Source organism: Homo sapiens, chromosome 11 (genome assembly GCF_000001405.40).
Source record: "Homo sapiens chromosome 11, GRCh38.p14 Primary Assembly".
In the NCBI taxonomy this organism is placed as follows: Eukaryota; Metazoa; Chordata; class Mammalia; order Primates; family Hominidae; genus Homo; species Homo sapiens.
This window is the reverse complement of record NC_000011.10, coordinates 76,463,501-76,479,047: the sequence shown is the minus strand read 5'-3', so window position 1 is coordinate 76,479,047 and position 15,547 is coordinate 76,463,501. Positions and strand designations below refer to the sequence as shown.

At 35.9% G+C, this 15,547-nt stretch overlaps 1 protein-coding gene across 50 annotated transcripts in view; it reads right to left on the bottom strand.

Annotated features, from left to right (window-relative positions):
- Positions 1–15,547, bottom strand: part of EMSY (EMSY transcriptional repressor, BRCA2 interacting) — a 108,014-nt gene that overhangs the window by 73,984 nt on the left and 18,483 nt on the right. For all 50 annotated transcript variants that reach the window (XM_047427269.1, NM_001300942.2, XM_047427298.1 and 47 more), the window contains 2 exons: positions 14,968–15,227; positions 6,208–6,484 (listed from right to left, as the gene is read on the bottom strand). In XM_047427269.1, the coding sequence (XP_047283225.1) occupies positions 6,208–6,484; positions 14,968–15,227 (537 nt within the window). The remainder of the gene's footprint in view (positions 1–6,207; positions 6,485–14,967; positions 15,228–15,547) is intronic.

The following is a 15,547-nucleotide window of genomic DNA, read 5'->3' as shown; positions in this document are numbered from 1 at the left end:
ATTCTGAAAGGGTATATAGTTCATGGGGACAAAATACGGTATTTAGTAAACTCTACAAAAAAATTCCAATTCTTCTATTTGGTAATCCTGCTCCTGAGTGCTGGTTCTAAGAAAATGGAAGGCTCAATTAAATTCACAAAGATGTTCACTATAGTTAAATCTAGAATATCAAACCCTGGAAACACACTGGATACCCAACAATAAGGGAATAATTTAATAAATTATTATACATTATATATTATAATAAATTTAATAAATTATGCAACAATAATAAAAATATTAAACAGCTCTGAAAATAATTAGGATATTTATAGAAAAATGTTAACGAAGCAACGATATATGAAGAAAGCATGCTACCAAATAGAATATGAACTTTTTATTCCAAATATGTAAAAAATATTATTCACGGCCGGGCGCGGTGGCTCACACCTGTAAGCCTAGCACTTTGGGAGGCTGAAGCAGGTGGATCATGAGGTCAGGAGTTCAAGGCCAGCCTGACCAAGATGGTGAAACCCCTTCTCTACTAAAAATACAAAAATTTGCTGAGCATGGTGGCACGCGCCTGTATCCCAGCTACTCAGGAGGCTGAGGCAGGAGAATCGCTTGAACCTGGGAGGCAGAGATTGCAGTGAGCCAAGATCGCACCACTGCACTCCAGCGTGGGCAACAGAGCGAGACTCAGTCTCAAAAAAAAAAAAAAAAAAAAATTATTCACATGGGTAAAAAGGTAATAATATAGAAAATAGAAAGTGCTATTGTGGTATAGTGGTGGGATTACTGGTAGCGCTTTGTTCTCTATTGTTCTCCTAAACTATCTGACCTACTAATATTGTTAGGTTTTAAATAACTTTTAAATGCTTTTAGATACTAAATGGGAACCATGTTGAACTGATAAGGGGGGATTTCACAGGGAAGGTATTTTGTGAAATGGGAATGGAAAACAGAAACTGCATTCAGGGCCAGCCTAAAGAAAGTATATAAAGTGCAGACAGCAGGAGTATTTGTGGAAACAACGTAATTGGAAGTAACTTGTTAGGTTGAAGATGGGTCAAGGAGGGAAAATAAAAGGTCAGCAGAAGAGTGTCACAACATTGGGTAAATAATTCATGAAATCCATAAAATAACATAAAAAGAACAAGATGAGAGCAAATTTTTCTCACCAAAGTAAAAGAAAAAAAACAGTAGCAACAATTAATCTAAGAAACAGGCAGAATAAAAAGTGGAATCAATCTAAGAAATAATAGCCCATTTGAGAATGGATTTGAGAGATAACAATAAAAGCTAATTACAGCTTCTAGTCTGTTAAGTACAAAATCTGGAGGAAAAAGGAAGATGAATCAACTATGAAGAAGCAGTCATCTAAGATAAACTATTTCCTTCTATACACACAAACCACATTTCAGCTATTACCTCTTTCTGTATTACCAGCACCAGACTTATAACCACCAAATTAAAAATTACTCCTTCCAAACATTAAAGTGCACAACAGTTTGTATAACATATTACATTTATCTAAGAAAAAAGTAAAATATAATAAATACATATTTGCTTATATGCTAAAAAATGAAAGGAGAAATAAAAATTAAAAAGATTACCTATCAGGGAGGACAGAACAGACTGTTGGAGTCATAGATAAACAGACTTCTCAGAACATACCTGATTTTGTGGATTTGATTTTGGAACTACATAAATATGTTATATAATTATAAATAAAATTTAGCAAAAATTTTCAAAATGACAATCCAAAAAAAACAAAAAACAAAAACAAAAAAAAAAACAGAAATAAATTAACCTATAATGCTTGACTACAGAGAAAAGAATTTCACGTGACTTTTAAATACAGTAATTTGATTGTATATCCTTAGAATACCCTTAAAAACTAAATAACTACAATAAAAATTTATGTTCAATAATCATATTGGTTCTGTTATTCTGAAACTATTATGTATTATACAATACATTAAAGGTATAATTTTATTAATCATTAGGAATCAGGATTTTCTGATTCCTAAAGATCCTTCCTGAATCATCAGGACAGAAAAAAATACAAACATACAAATAGAAAAAGTTAAAACCCATAATTATAAATTGGAATTGGTAATATCAGTATGAAACGACGATATATTTCCTCTTAAACAGAAAAGAACTGTAGCTCTATCCACCAATAAAATGCAGAAACAATGACCAATACAGTAGTAATGACCACCCCCACAATGCCCAGATTGTGGTATCTAAACACCATTTTTCACTAAGAAACCAGGACTCCCTGAAGAAATGTCTAATTTCAAGTCTAGGGGAGAAAATGTACAAGATGAACCTGGAACATCTCAACATACCACAAAACAAGGACACTATTAAAGACTAATGTAGTTGTGTCAAAAGAATTTAGAAACCAACTAAGAGGCTCCCACTGGCAAGGATGGAACAATGTGAGCACCAGAAGGAAGATCTGCAATATATTGATAGACATCAAAAATCTTAGTAATATGGGGAGTGAAAATCTTATTGGCCAATGAACCAATTCATCTGAAAACATACAAATAAAGAGAAATAATCATGCATGTATCCTGCTTTTCCCATATGAATTGTACCTCAGGGTAAGCAATAATAATAAAGGAAAGTACTTCTTTAAGAATTCTAGCTAATAAATGAAAATAAAGATAAAATGCATTTTGCAACAACCAATAAAATAATAGATCTAGGCAAAGATTATCAATAGCTATTAAAACCATTTGGTAACACTTGTATCCTCTAGTCAATGTTAACATCACTAAAGGGAAAAAACAGACATTATGTGTCTCTTAAAACGATGCAACAAGAAGCATACACCACCACTTATAAAATGTTCATTCTTCCTATTTCCAAAAACAATCAGACTTGAATCTAATCAAGCTCCTAGATTTGGCTACCAGTTTTATGGAAATGCATTGAACAGGAGACCTTGTTAAACTACAATACACAGATGAAATCAGTAAAATCCAGACTATGGGAAACTCTCAGAAAAATTAGTTATTTCTTCAACAAGTAAGTTGCAAGGACAAAAGAGAGAGAAGACTGCTAAGTTAAAAGAGACATAACTACATCAATTAATGCAGTGTGGACCATCACTACACTTACAAACATGGAGTCATTTACCAAGTTACTGCTAAGACCCTTTCCCCTCTACAACCAGCTATCCCTACAGGCACAACCAGAGATACATCAGCCCTAAAACAATATGTCTCTAGTCCATAGTAGGAGACACTGAATGCCCTCTTGCCTGATGTACCCACACAGGAGCTGCTACAGAAGTCCTGCAGGCACAATCACAAACGCAGTCTGTGTTACCATTTCCATCAATATTTACCTTGTTTAAAAAAAATAAAATTCCTTGATTTCTTAGTACTAATAACATCTAAATTAAATATCTCGAACAGAAACAAAATAATCACATCGTTTCCTTGAGTATCTATACTCAGAGTTTACTTTTACATCCTTCATTCTCTATTAACTTCCAGTGACTTTAAGAGAAATCTCTGAGATGTCACATCCAGCTCCCCTATAATTACTTAAGGCTCAAAGAGATGTAGAATGCTAAGAAGCAAAGGAGAAAATGAAGAAAGTCCTAAGTTCCTAAGAGATTCAGTGGCTACCTGGAGAAAATTAAGAATGAAAATTAGAAGCTTGGAATATTCATTTTGCTTCAAGATATTTTATTAGTAACCAAGAGAAATATCTCTCATCTCAAATAGTACCATCTACCTTAGAAAAACAGTAATCTTTCTAATACAGTAAAACCAGCAAACTGTTTGATGAGTATTGGCAGAGAAAAACAACTATCAACAGATGATAATTTATATTAGTGTTGATACACGGATCAGTCGAGTGAGGAGTCAGGTGGCCTTTCCTTCTCTCAACCTTCAAATTATAAAATGGTGAATTCGGAACATGTTTGTAACCAACATTTTAAACAAATTTTCTGTATAAAAATTATTTTTATATTTAGGCCGGGCATGGTGGTGCACACCTGTAATCCCAGCACCTTGGTAGGCTGAAGCGGGAGGATCTCTTGAGGCCAGGAGTTCGAGATCAGCCTGGGCAACACGGCAAAACACCACCTCTATTAGAAATACAAAAATTAGCCAGGCGTGGTGGCACACACCTGAGGTCCCAGCTACTGGGGTGGCTGGGGCAGGAGAATTGCTTGAACCCGGGAGGCGGAGGTTGCAGGAAGCCAAGATCATGCCACTGCACTCTAGCCTGGGCGACAGAGGGAGACTCTATCTCAAAAAATATATATTTCTGTATTTAACAGGACTATATTCTCATTCACTGCTGTATAAATAGAAATGTTGGAATTTTTTTTAATTACTTAAGGTAACATAAAAGGAAATTTGAAGACTGCTACTTCTTGTCATTGATTGAGACATTAAATGGGTATCAGAACTAGAAAATAATGACAGATGCTCCCATATCCTACTATAACAGCTGCAGAGTGAAGAAATACTGACTGCATCCATATCTATGTAATCCCTTCCTTGCTAACAGTTACATAAAATACATAATACATCATTAAAGCAATCAAGACACTGTTTTCCTACTTGAGTGCTTGCATTCACTCCTAGTTCATAAACTAGAATATTTCCAAGCCCCAATCTGTCTTAAGTTATATATTATTCACATAAAACTCAATGAAAACTAATACCAAGTACCCTTCTATATTGTTTCCAAGCTCCCTTTGACAGACTATAAATATGGGTATGAATTCTATATAATATATGCTTCCCTCTAATCACTCTCTTAAGACCTACGAACACTAAAAAAAGGACATTTCTGATGATATGCTATTTGTCTTGTCTTTCATATGGGAGGAACACAAAGGTATTAAGAAACTAAGCTAAAATGGAACTCAGATTTCCATATTTCCTTTCCTTTGCTTTTTTTTTTTTTTTTGAGACAGGGTCTTGGTCTGTCACCAGGACTGGATCTCAGCTCACTACAATCTCCACCTCCCGGGTTCAAACAATTCTCCTGCCTCAGCCTCCTGAGTAGCTGGGATTACAGGTGTGCACTACCATGCCCGGCTAATTTTTGTATTTTTTTAGTACAGCCATGTTCACCAGGCTGGTCTTGAACTCCTGACCTCAAGTGATCCAAACGATTCTCCTGCCTCAGCCTCCCGAGTAGCCGGGATTACAGGTGTGCATTACCATGCCCGGCTAATTTTTGTATTTTTTTAGTAGAGACAGGGTTTCACCATGTTACAGGCCAGGCTGGTCTTGAACTCCTGACCTCAAGTGATCCACCTGCCTCCGCTTCCCAAAGTGCTGGGATTACAGGCGTGAGCCACTGTGCCCGGCCTACTCTGCTATTAAGCAGCAATTGCCCTTGAGTTCAGGTCTCAGTTGCTCTTCAGTTAATATTTCCATCATCTATCCATACAGAAAAATTTAGGAGACTAGCAGAGCACAGTGGCTCGTGCCTGTCATACCAGCACTTCGGGAAGCTGAGGCGGGTGGATTGTCTGAACTCCGGAGTTCCAGACCAGCCTGGGCAACATGGTGAGACCCCATCTCTACCAAAAATACAAAAAAAATAGCCGGGTATGGTGGTGTGTGCCTGTGGTCCCAGCTACTCAGAAGGCTGAGGTGGGAGGATCACTTAAGCCCGGGAGGTGGAGGTTGCAGTGAGCCAAGATTGCTCCACTGCACTCCAGCCTGGGTGACAGAGCGAGACCCTGTCTCAACGAGAAAAAAAAAAAGAAAAGAAAAATGTAGGAGACTGAAGAAAAAGCAAATGGCATATCCTTGAAACCATCTTCTTCCTCCTACCTCTTATCATTTACTTTGAAGAGGATGTGTACTTGATGTTTCCTCTGAAGAACCTATGGTAATATAATTTCAAATTTCTCATTTAAAAATTTCATTATATTAAAGATATTTGTACAGCCCTTTGAAATTTATAGTGACGAGATTTAACCTACATTTTGTGAATGTTAGCAGCCCAGGTAATTAGGTATTGTGCAAAACAACTTGGGGCAAGCATATTAATATAAGAAAATGGAATCACCGACCATCTTGACATTCTCAAACTGGGGTACACGGGGTGGTGATCTTGGGTCTAATAGTAGGGACCTTCATATCCAAAGCAGAGAAACATACCCACCAAGTTTTCTTCAAAATTCCATATAGCAACTGTGACAGAATTAAATTGTGAAACAGCACTCACCTTGTGCTACTGTTGACATGACCACAGATGGTGTAGAGGACACCACAGCTGTTACTGCAACTGTATTAGGAATAGGTGATGGTGTAGAACTGCTGCTGCCACTGCTGCTATTACTGACCAGAGAGGACTGTGAAGCAGTTATAACAACTGGTGGCTTCTGGGTTGTAGAAGCAATGACTGACGTTGGTACAAGCTTAGTGACTGCTGCATAGTTATGGGATTTGGAGAGAATGTTGGGCACGAAGGTTGAGCTTGGTGATGTGGTGACTATAATAACCTAAGGAATAAAAAATAAGTTATTTTTATGTACCTACTAAACTACTAATGTATCTAGACTCACAGTTAGTTATATATAATTTAAAAATAGCTTATGAAAAACGAAGAAGCAATTCAACAGAGAATATACAACTAAAAATATATTAAAATTTTCCTTTACTAGTAATCATCAAAATGCATTTATAAGCAACAATTTTACAAATCAAATATTTTAAAAGATAACATCAACGCTGTATAAGATACAGGAAAGTAGACATTTCAGCATACTACTTAGGGAGTATAAATTGGCACACTCTTTCTAGAAAGTAATTTAAACATTCATTCGTTTATAAATATTTATTGAGCACCTACTATGTGCCAGGCATGGTTCTAGACGCTGGAGAATAGAAGAATGAACAAAAGAAACAAAGCTGATACCTTCAAGTAGCTTACATTTTAGTAGTGGGAGAGAAATAAACAGAAATGTAAGTATATGTCACGCAGAGACAAATGGAAGAGACAAAAAAGTATGGTAGGAGAATAAAGAATGATGGGAGCACTGTATGATTTTTTAAGTAATGTATTCAATAAAGACCTCTCAGTAAGGTGACATATGAACAGAAACCAGAAGGAAGTAGGGATATGAACCATGGTGCTACCCAGAAGACCATCCATCAGCACAGGGAGCAGTAAATACAAAGGCCCTAAAGCAGAAGCAAGCTTGGTATGTTCAAGAAACTTCAAAGATCTAGTGAACGGGATAGAAATGTATAGGGTACAAAGTAGTAGTAGACAACTGCAGAGAAGTAATGAAGGACTAAACCATGTAAGAGCATGTTGACAGTATATACCCTTTATATGATGTGATGAAAAAGGTACTTTCTCTCTGAGGTCTTCTGTCCAAAAACCCATAATCATAGTCTAATCATGAGAAGAACATCAGACAAATTCTAACAGTTGGGGTATCTACAAGATACTTGACCAGTACTCCTCAAAATTGTCAAGGTCATCAAAAAAAAGGAAAGTCTGAGAAACTTTCACAGTAAAGAGGAATCAGTAGGAGCCTAAAGAGAAATAACAACTAAATATAATATGGTATCCTGGAACAGAAAAAGACAATAGGTAAAAACCAAGGAAATATGAATAAACCATGGATCTAATTAACATTAATGCATTAATAGTCTTTATTAGCTATAACAATGTATCACACCAATGTAAAATGTTCAGAATAAAGGAGACTTATCAGGAAGTTGGTAAAAAACAAAACAAAGAGAATGAGAAAACTGGGTGCAGAGTATATGAGAACTCTGTACTATCTTCTCAATTTTTCTGTAAATCTAAAACTGTTTTAAAAAATAAAGTCCATTTTTTAAAAAATCATTACTCTACCTATTAGGTAAAAAGTACAGTAGGGCAATGAAGGTAGAAACAGGGAGACAAATTAAGAAGCTCCTGTAACAAACCAGGCAGGGATGATGGTGAACAAGGTATTTGTGGTGGAAGAAGTAAAAAGTGAACAGATTCTGAATACACTGCAAAGGTAAAGCCAACAGGATTTGCTTGTATATTGATATGAAGAATGGAGAAAAAGAGAGGCAGGAAAGAGATGTCAAGGTTTTGCCAGTATAACTAGAAAACTGTAGATGATTTAGTGACAAATCATTCCAGACAGAGAGAATAGTATGAAGGAAAGGAACTAATGTCAGAAGTAGCTTGATAAATTTAAAAACAGAAAAGAAAGCAGTGTAGCAAAAAGCACATAGGGCAAAGAGGAGTTGGAAAAGTAAGCAGAGGCTACATCAAATGTGGAATTTAGATTTTTATACTAAGTATAATAGAAAGCCACAGGAATATTTTAAGTAGGAAGAAAAACAAAATTTGATGTATATTTTAAAAGATCACTCTAGCTGCTACATGATAAGAGGCAAGAGGGGAAGCAGTGAGACCACTTAAACTATTGCATCAGACCAAGCAGAAAATGATAGAGGCTGCCTGCACCGGAGTGTTAGTAGTAGAAATAAAGAAAAGTGATCAAAGTCAGATTATTTTGAAAAGTAGAGAGAATAGGATTTGTTGATGAATGAAAATGGCAGGGTTAAGGAAAAGAACGGAATCAAGAATAGCTCCTAGGGCTAATATGTATTGGCTTATTTAAATCTCCTAACAATTCTATGATACGTGTACTATTATTATCCCCATTTTACAAATGAGAACACAAAAATTATTTAGAAGTCTGTAGTATCACATTTTTATTCTGGGGTGGTATAGTAAAACCCAAAAAAGAGCAGATTATCTCCTTCCTCTTTAAATGAAATTATTTGTACCTAGCTAGAAAAGAAAAACTGTTTTGAAAAATCTAAAGAATTTAAGGGAAAATTCTTTTTCATTTTTATATCACTTCTAAAGAAGGCCAGAAGTGAGTCAGTCAAAATTTACTGAATATATCTGTACTCAGGACCTACATCTCAAAGAAGCTCGGACCATAACATTGTTATTATATACTTTGAGTGTTACAGAGAATTACCAGATATGAGTTCTTATCCAGTGTTACAGAGAATTACAAGATATAAGTACTTGTCCATTACTTTAAGGGGTTTGTTAGTTAATTATTTGAGGCATCAAGAAAGATACATAAGATCAGCAAACACCTATATAGAGTCAACCAGCATATTTATAGATAGACTTGATCAGCAAATACCTATATAGCATTATTAGAAAACAACAATCAACCATGATACAAGCTGAGAAGTAGACCAATATGGCAAAAAGACCACAAGCTTAAATGAACCTGCACTTAGATCCTGCCTCTGCCACTTAAAAATGGCAGGCCCCTGGACATGTTGGAATCTCTGGGCTCCAATTTTCATCTATAAAATGGGGATAATAATACCTACCTTGCAAAGTCATTACAAGGATTAAACGATATAATGATGTTAAGCATCTGACATAGTGCTAGGCACACAGCAGGTTGTCAATATTTGGCAGTCAACAAATGGTACTTATTAGTAGCTTATTACTACTACTTAATAAATGTGAAAAGGATATCAGTAAAGGCATTATACATCAAATCAATCTGAAAATGCATTTCAATATACTTTGTTTCACTTAAAACTTCTCTTATTTTTTTCCCAAATTCTGATACCTCTGAGAATCCAAAGAATTCACAGCTGCTGCCACAGCCAAACCATTAGAGTAGTAATGGCAATTAGGGTTCACTTTTGCCAGTTCTGAACTAATTGTAGTAGCTTCCTGGAGCACAATGCTTATAAGGACTTTGAGGCCCAGATAAGAATTCACCAAGGCTTAGCAGGAAAGTATGCCACAGTTAATTAGCAATGTCTGTCATGGGCAAGGGCAAGGGAAGCATTCACACTTGTACCAAATATTTGCAATTTCAGAATTAGAGTATACATGTAGGCTTTAACATTAAGACAAAACTTCAGCAAAATGAATCTAGAGTCTTTAAGAGCATATTTTAGGTTACAGATACAAATGATAAGATCTATTTTGAGATTTCAGCCTGCAAGATGATTTCTGATCTGAAAAGAAGTTATCCTTCATTAGAGATCCACCTTGGAGGAAACCTACTTGTACTTTAAAGTTACTCATTACAACAGGAGGAAGTATAGGGGTTTAAAACCAAGTGAACCAAACAGTGTTTATTCAGGCCATAATTCAAATTACTGACCTTCTAGCACTCACAAAAACTCCTTAAGAGTGCTGGGACTTGCACCCTAAGGACAAAATGAAAAATATCAATCAAGCACATGAAGGCATAAAGCTAAATTCTGCTGCTCTGATATATAAGTGCTGCATCAATGTTATATTTAAAATGAAGGCACCACATTAACACAGGTGGAAATGTGTCTACCCTGAAAATATATTACCTATTTGAATTTGAATAAAGTCCACAAATTCATAAATAATTATACTTAATATAAAAATCACTTCACCTACAATAATTCCTAAGTTGCCTTATACAGGATTTGTGACAAATCCAAAGTGAATGCAATAATGGCAACAGCCTTGGATAGATTTCAGAAAAATCCAATTACCCAAGCAAAAGAAAAACATAAAACTCCAAGAACATTTATTAGTCCTACCCATATCAGCTTGTCCACAAAATAATAAAAGTAATGGCATTGAGTACACAAGAAGTAAAAGAGTACAGTTTTACATCTGGAACATAGTAGGTGCTCAATAAATATTTGTGGAATGAATGAGTCTTATTTTTAATTTAATTTGTTTTAAACATTTGTTTTTTTTAACCATAGTAAGCCAAATCTAAGGTTCTGAACCTGAACTCTCATGGTATGGCTCATATATAACTTGGGAGATAAATATGCCCTCTTTCAAACATCCCAAGTCTGAAAACCTCAACTATCCATTCTCAATTGAAAATTCAGAAGAAAAAAAATAAAAATAAATATATGGTAAAGTCAATGAACTTAAAAAAAGTTCACAAACTTCACTGAGTCCTCATCTACTACACGTATTTTTAGCTAAGTCCACCGAAGAAGACTGAAAAGTTAATAGTGTTAGGTGACATTTACTGAGCACTCACTGTATGTACTACGTTAAGTTTTTTTTTTTGTTTTTTTTTTTTGAGATGGAGTTTAGCTCCTGCTGCCCAGGCTGGAGTGCAATGGCACAATCTTGGCTCACTGCAACCTCTGTCTCCCGGGTTCAAGCGATTCTCCTGCCTCAGCCTACCGAGTAGCATGTGCCACCACGCCCGGCTAATTTTGTATTTTTAGTAGGGACAGCGTTTCTCCATGTTGATCAGGCTGGTCTCAGAACTCCTACCCTCAGGTGATCCGCCTGCCTCAGCCTCCCAAAGTGTTGGGATTACAGGTGTGAGCCACCACACCCGGCCTATGATCATCTTTATTTTACAAAGAAACAGGCTCAAGGGAGGTAGCTAAGCCAGTATTGGAACCAGATACTTCTATTCATTCATTAATTAATTTACTCATTCAACAAATATTAATTAGCACTTACTACATGCCAGGTACTATTCTAAATACTAGGGAATACATTGAAGAATAAGACAAAGTCTCTACCCTTAGCAGCTTATAGTCCCTGGGAGAAATAGAAGATAAACAACTTTGCAATATAATATCAACTAGTTGTAAGTATAATGAATAACAATAAAACAGAGTACAGGAATAGAAGGATATGGATGGGAGGTAGGTACGCTTTTAGCTACAGCTTTGCTTTACTATTTCTCAAATACTAAATTAAAAGACTAGACAAGAAGCAGGGAAGAGAGAAGAATTACTGAGAAAATAAGATCCAGCAACAAAGGCAGTTAAAAGCGTTATAGTAAGTAGACTTAAAAATTCAGGGCACAGCAGACTGATGCCACCTAATATAGGGCCAGCTTAGAAAGCAATAACTATAATAGCATATAAAAAGTGACATTCAGAAAGATTATCTTGGAGTCATCAAATAAAAATGTAAAAATTATCCTCAGTATAAAACTTAAGAAGTCATCAAAAATAGTTAATTTCTATATATGAAGGGATATGCTTCAATGAACTGATGAATTCATTTATTTGGAACAGCTCATTAATCAACAGTGTAAATAAACAAAACTCTACACTCCATAAAATACCTGCAAGGGAAGGAACTAACAATTGTTGAATACATACCTTATGTTGCTCTTTAAATATCCAATCTCATTTAATCCTTGCAATAATGTCCTAAGATGACATCATTCTCATCTCATAAATGAGTGAACAGATTTAGAAAGACTAATTTATTTAGGTCATACTAGAAGAACTAGGGTTCTAACCCAGGACTCTTGACTCTCAAAGTTTTTGTTTGATTCTAATACCATACCATAATCCCTCATCTTCAGACTGAAAATAGAATTACATCCCACAGATCAGCTCATTATCACTTCTAGTTACTAATAATGATAATTTTTAATATATTATATAGTGACATCTTTGCAAGAAACTCGAGGAGGTTCTTTAAGGGGAAGTTATCACAGGAGTAAAGATTCAAAGGTTGAAAGACCATACACCGAACACAGAATTTACCTCCAGTCCTTCCCCAAAATCCCTCTAAAACAGCATGAAGGGATTTTTTTTTAAAAGGGAAAAGGCACATAAACCTATAAGGTCAAAACAAAAAGGTGACAACAGCTATAAAGTTTGGAAACTGAAAAACAGACAAATAAGAATGGATTAAGCATATCTAAGAGTGTAAAAACCTAAGGCAGTAAAGAGTAACAAAAAATAAGGCAGCCTGCATTTGTGAGCCCCAGAAAGACTCAGGAATTGAGAACACCAGATACTTCTGAAGTGGGGATAAACATGCAACTGAAGAGAGGAAAATTAGTTGAAAATCTGTTTAAGAACGATTTAGATCCCTAGCTATTCTCCCCCATCCTAAGGGAAGGCTAAGAATTTACTGTCATGAGGGAGATTGACAAAGAAATCTAATGACATCAGGCACATCTGGGGGGCCAGGTACTACGCTAAAAACAGAGGAGATAAGTAAAGTATATATATCATGAATGGTGAGCCCACCCAGCCCTTTCCCTCTATTTAACCCCCAAACAAAACACTGCCAACCAGGCTTATATTACTCGAGGCAGGAGACTGGGATATTTCTGAACAATCCTACCAGTCCAAACAAAAGCCCTAAAGACAGTGACAAATGGTGGAGGTAAAGGGGTAGTGGATGTTCCTGAACAAAATAGTCCAGCTAGGTCAATTTACGATGAAAGTCACCAGTCAGCATGTCCCACCCATACACACAGAGCTTTCTGTCACCTTTTTAGTGCCTATTTTCATTCGTAAGCAGACAGCCAGACACTTAAGAAAACTAAATAAAAGAGATCAAAACAAATAGATAAAAGGAACTTACAGAGAGAACATGAAAGAAGAAAACATTTAAAAAATTGTCATGAATCTCATTAGGTAAGAGAATACAATGCTTCTATGAAAGAGTAGGATGCTTTTTTTTTTTTTAAAGGAACTTTGAGAGAAAAAGAGTTACTAGAAATTTAAAGTATGAGAGCAAAAATGAAAAACTCTATAAATGTAGTGAAAAATAAAATTAAATGATAAAGAAAATAAAAATACTGAACATTTACTACGTGCAAGGCTGTAACAATTTTTCATATATTATTTCATGTATTTACACCCAAAAATCCTATAAAATAAATACATTGTTTTCTCTGTTTTATAGACGAGAAAACTCGGGTAGAGAGTTTAGTTTTCCCACAGTCACGCAGCTAGTAAGTGGCAAAAGCTGGGATCTGAATCCAAGAAGTCCAATTCCAAAATACAGGCTTTTTCCATTATATTAGAGTAGGAAAACAATGCAAACAAATGGAAAATGGAAATGAGAAAGATAAATGGATCAATCCAGGCAGTTCAATAGGCAAATAACAGGTGATCCAAAAAGAGAAAACAGAGACAAATCAAATAACTCAAGAAATGTATCAGAATTGAAGGACATAAATATTCAGAATAAAAGGGCCCACTGAGTATACAACCTAATCGATGAAATAAAGACCCACACCAAGGAACATTACCTTGAAATTTCAGAATTCTGAAAGTTACTGAAAGTTTGTAAAGAGAAAAACAGTATCTGAAATTAGAATGGTACTGGACTTCCCAAAATCAATAATGGAAGCCGGAAGCCAACAGAGCAACAACATCTTCAAAAATTCACAGGGAAAATCACTTCCAACCTAGAATACTTTTCCTAGTTAAACCATAAAAAAAGTGGGAAGGTAGAATAAAGAAATTTGCAGTCTACCATGCAAGGTCCCCAAAAATTTACTTTCCATCCACCCATACACCAGGTAGCTACTGGAGGATATGCTCTGGCAAAATAAGCAAAGAAACTAACAAAGAAGATCAGAATGATGGTTAAAGAGAGATCCCAGAAATATAGGTGTACAACAAGCCTAGAGAGCCATTATGGTCCATCCAGATCAGTGTGGGAAGACAGAGGGGTCTAAAAACATGAAACTGACAAAATAATAATGACTTCAACATATTTAGAGAAGAGTTTAGGAATGAATTAATAACAGCATACAAAGAATTTAAAAAGAAGATAACAAAAGTTATTCACTTAATTATATCCTTCCTTTCTTCTATGAAACACCTGACAACTTTACTACTTTGGCAAATTAAAACCTGAGTTGCTACAGGGAAGGTCATACAAATATAGGTTAAAATTTTTTTCTATTTTAAATTTTTTCCAAATAGGATTACAACTATAAAATAGAGCACAATTCTTAGAAGAGATTCGGCTGTGTCATATTATGCAAGTCATTTAACATCGCAAAGCCTCATCTGCAAAACTGAAATAATAATACCTATCCCAAAGCCTTATCTGGAAAATTAAACAAAGTAAAAGATGTGAACATCCCCAGCATAATGCCAAGCACATAGTAAGCACTCAGTGCATGTTTATTAAATCTGAATCATACTGTCTGAAAGAAACAATTGGCAGGCAGAGACTCCCTCCACCACATACCTTCTGTGTTGTTGTGTTTGTTGTCTGTGTTGATGGTTTAGTGAAGGTTATTTTTACAGGAGACATGTGGGGTGGTAAGGAGTTGGCAATGCTCTGCATGATGTTGCTCATCTTGGGACTACCACTCACAGGCACAGTGATCGTCTTTGAGACTGGAACAACGGCCTTTGGAACTTCCTTTAGAACAACAGGAGAGGAGCTGGAAGAGTTTGTTCGCCTTCGTTTTCTGGGTTTTTCATCTTCATCTGAACAGCTTACACCTGAAGGGCAATGACAATACTGCTATATGTATACCAAACTAATCTTGCATTATACACTTTATTTTTAAAATCTTTATATCATCCTTGTCCTCTCTCTGTCTTAAGCCATTAGCCAATAAGTTCTATCAATCTTCCCTCAGAGAAGTGGTCTCTGAATGCCTTCCCTCCTTTCTTTTTTTTTTTTTTTTTTTGAGACGGAGTCTCGCTCTGTCACCCAGGCCGGACTGCGGACTGCAGTGGCGCAATCTCGGCTCACCGCAAGCTCCGCTTCCCGGGTTCACGCCATTCTCCTGCCTCAGCCTCCCGAGTAGCTGGGACTA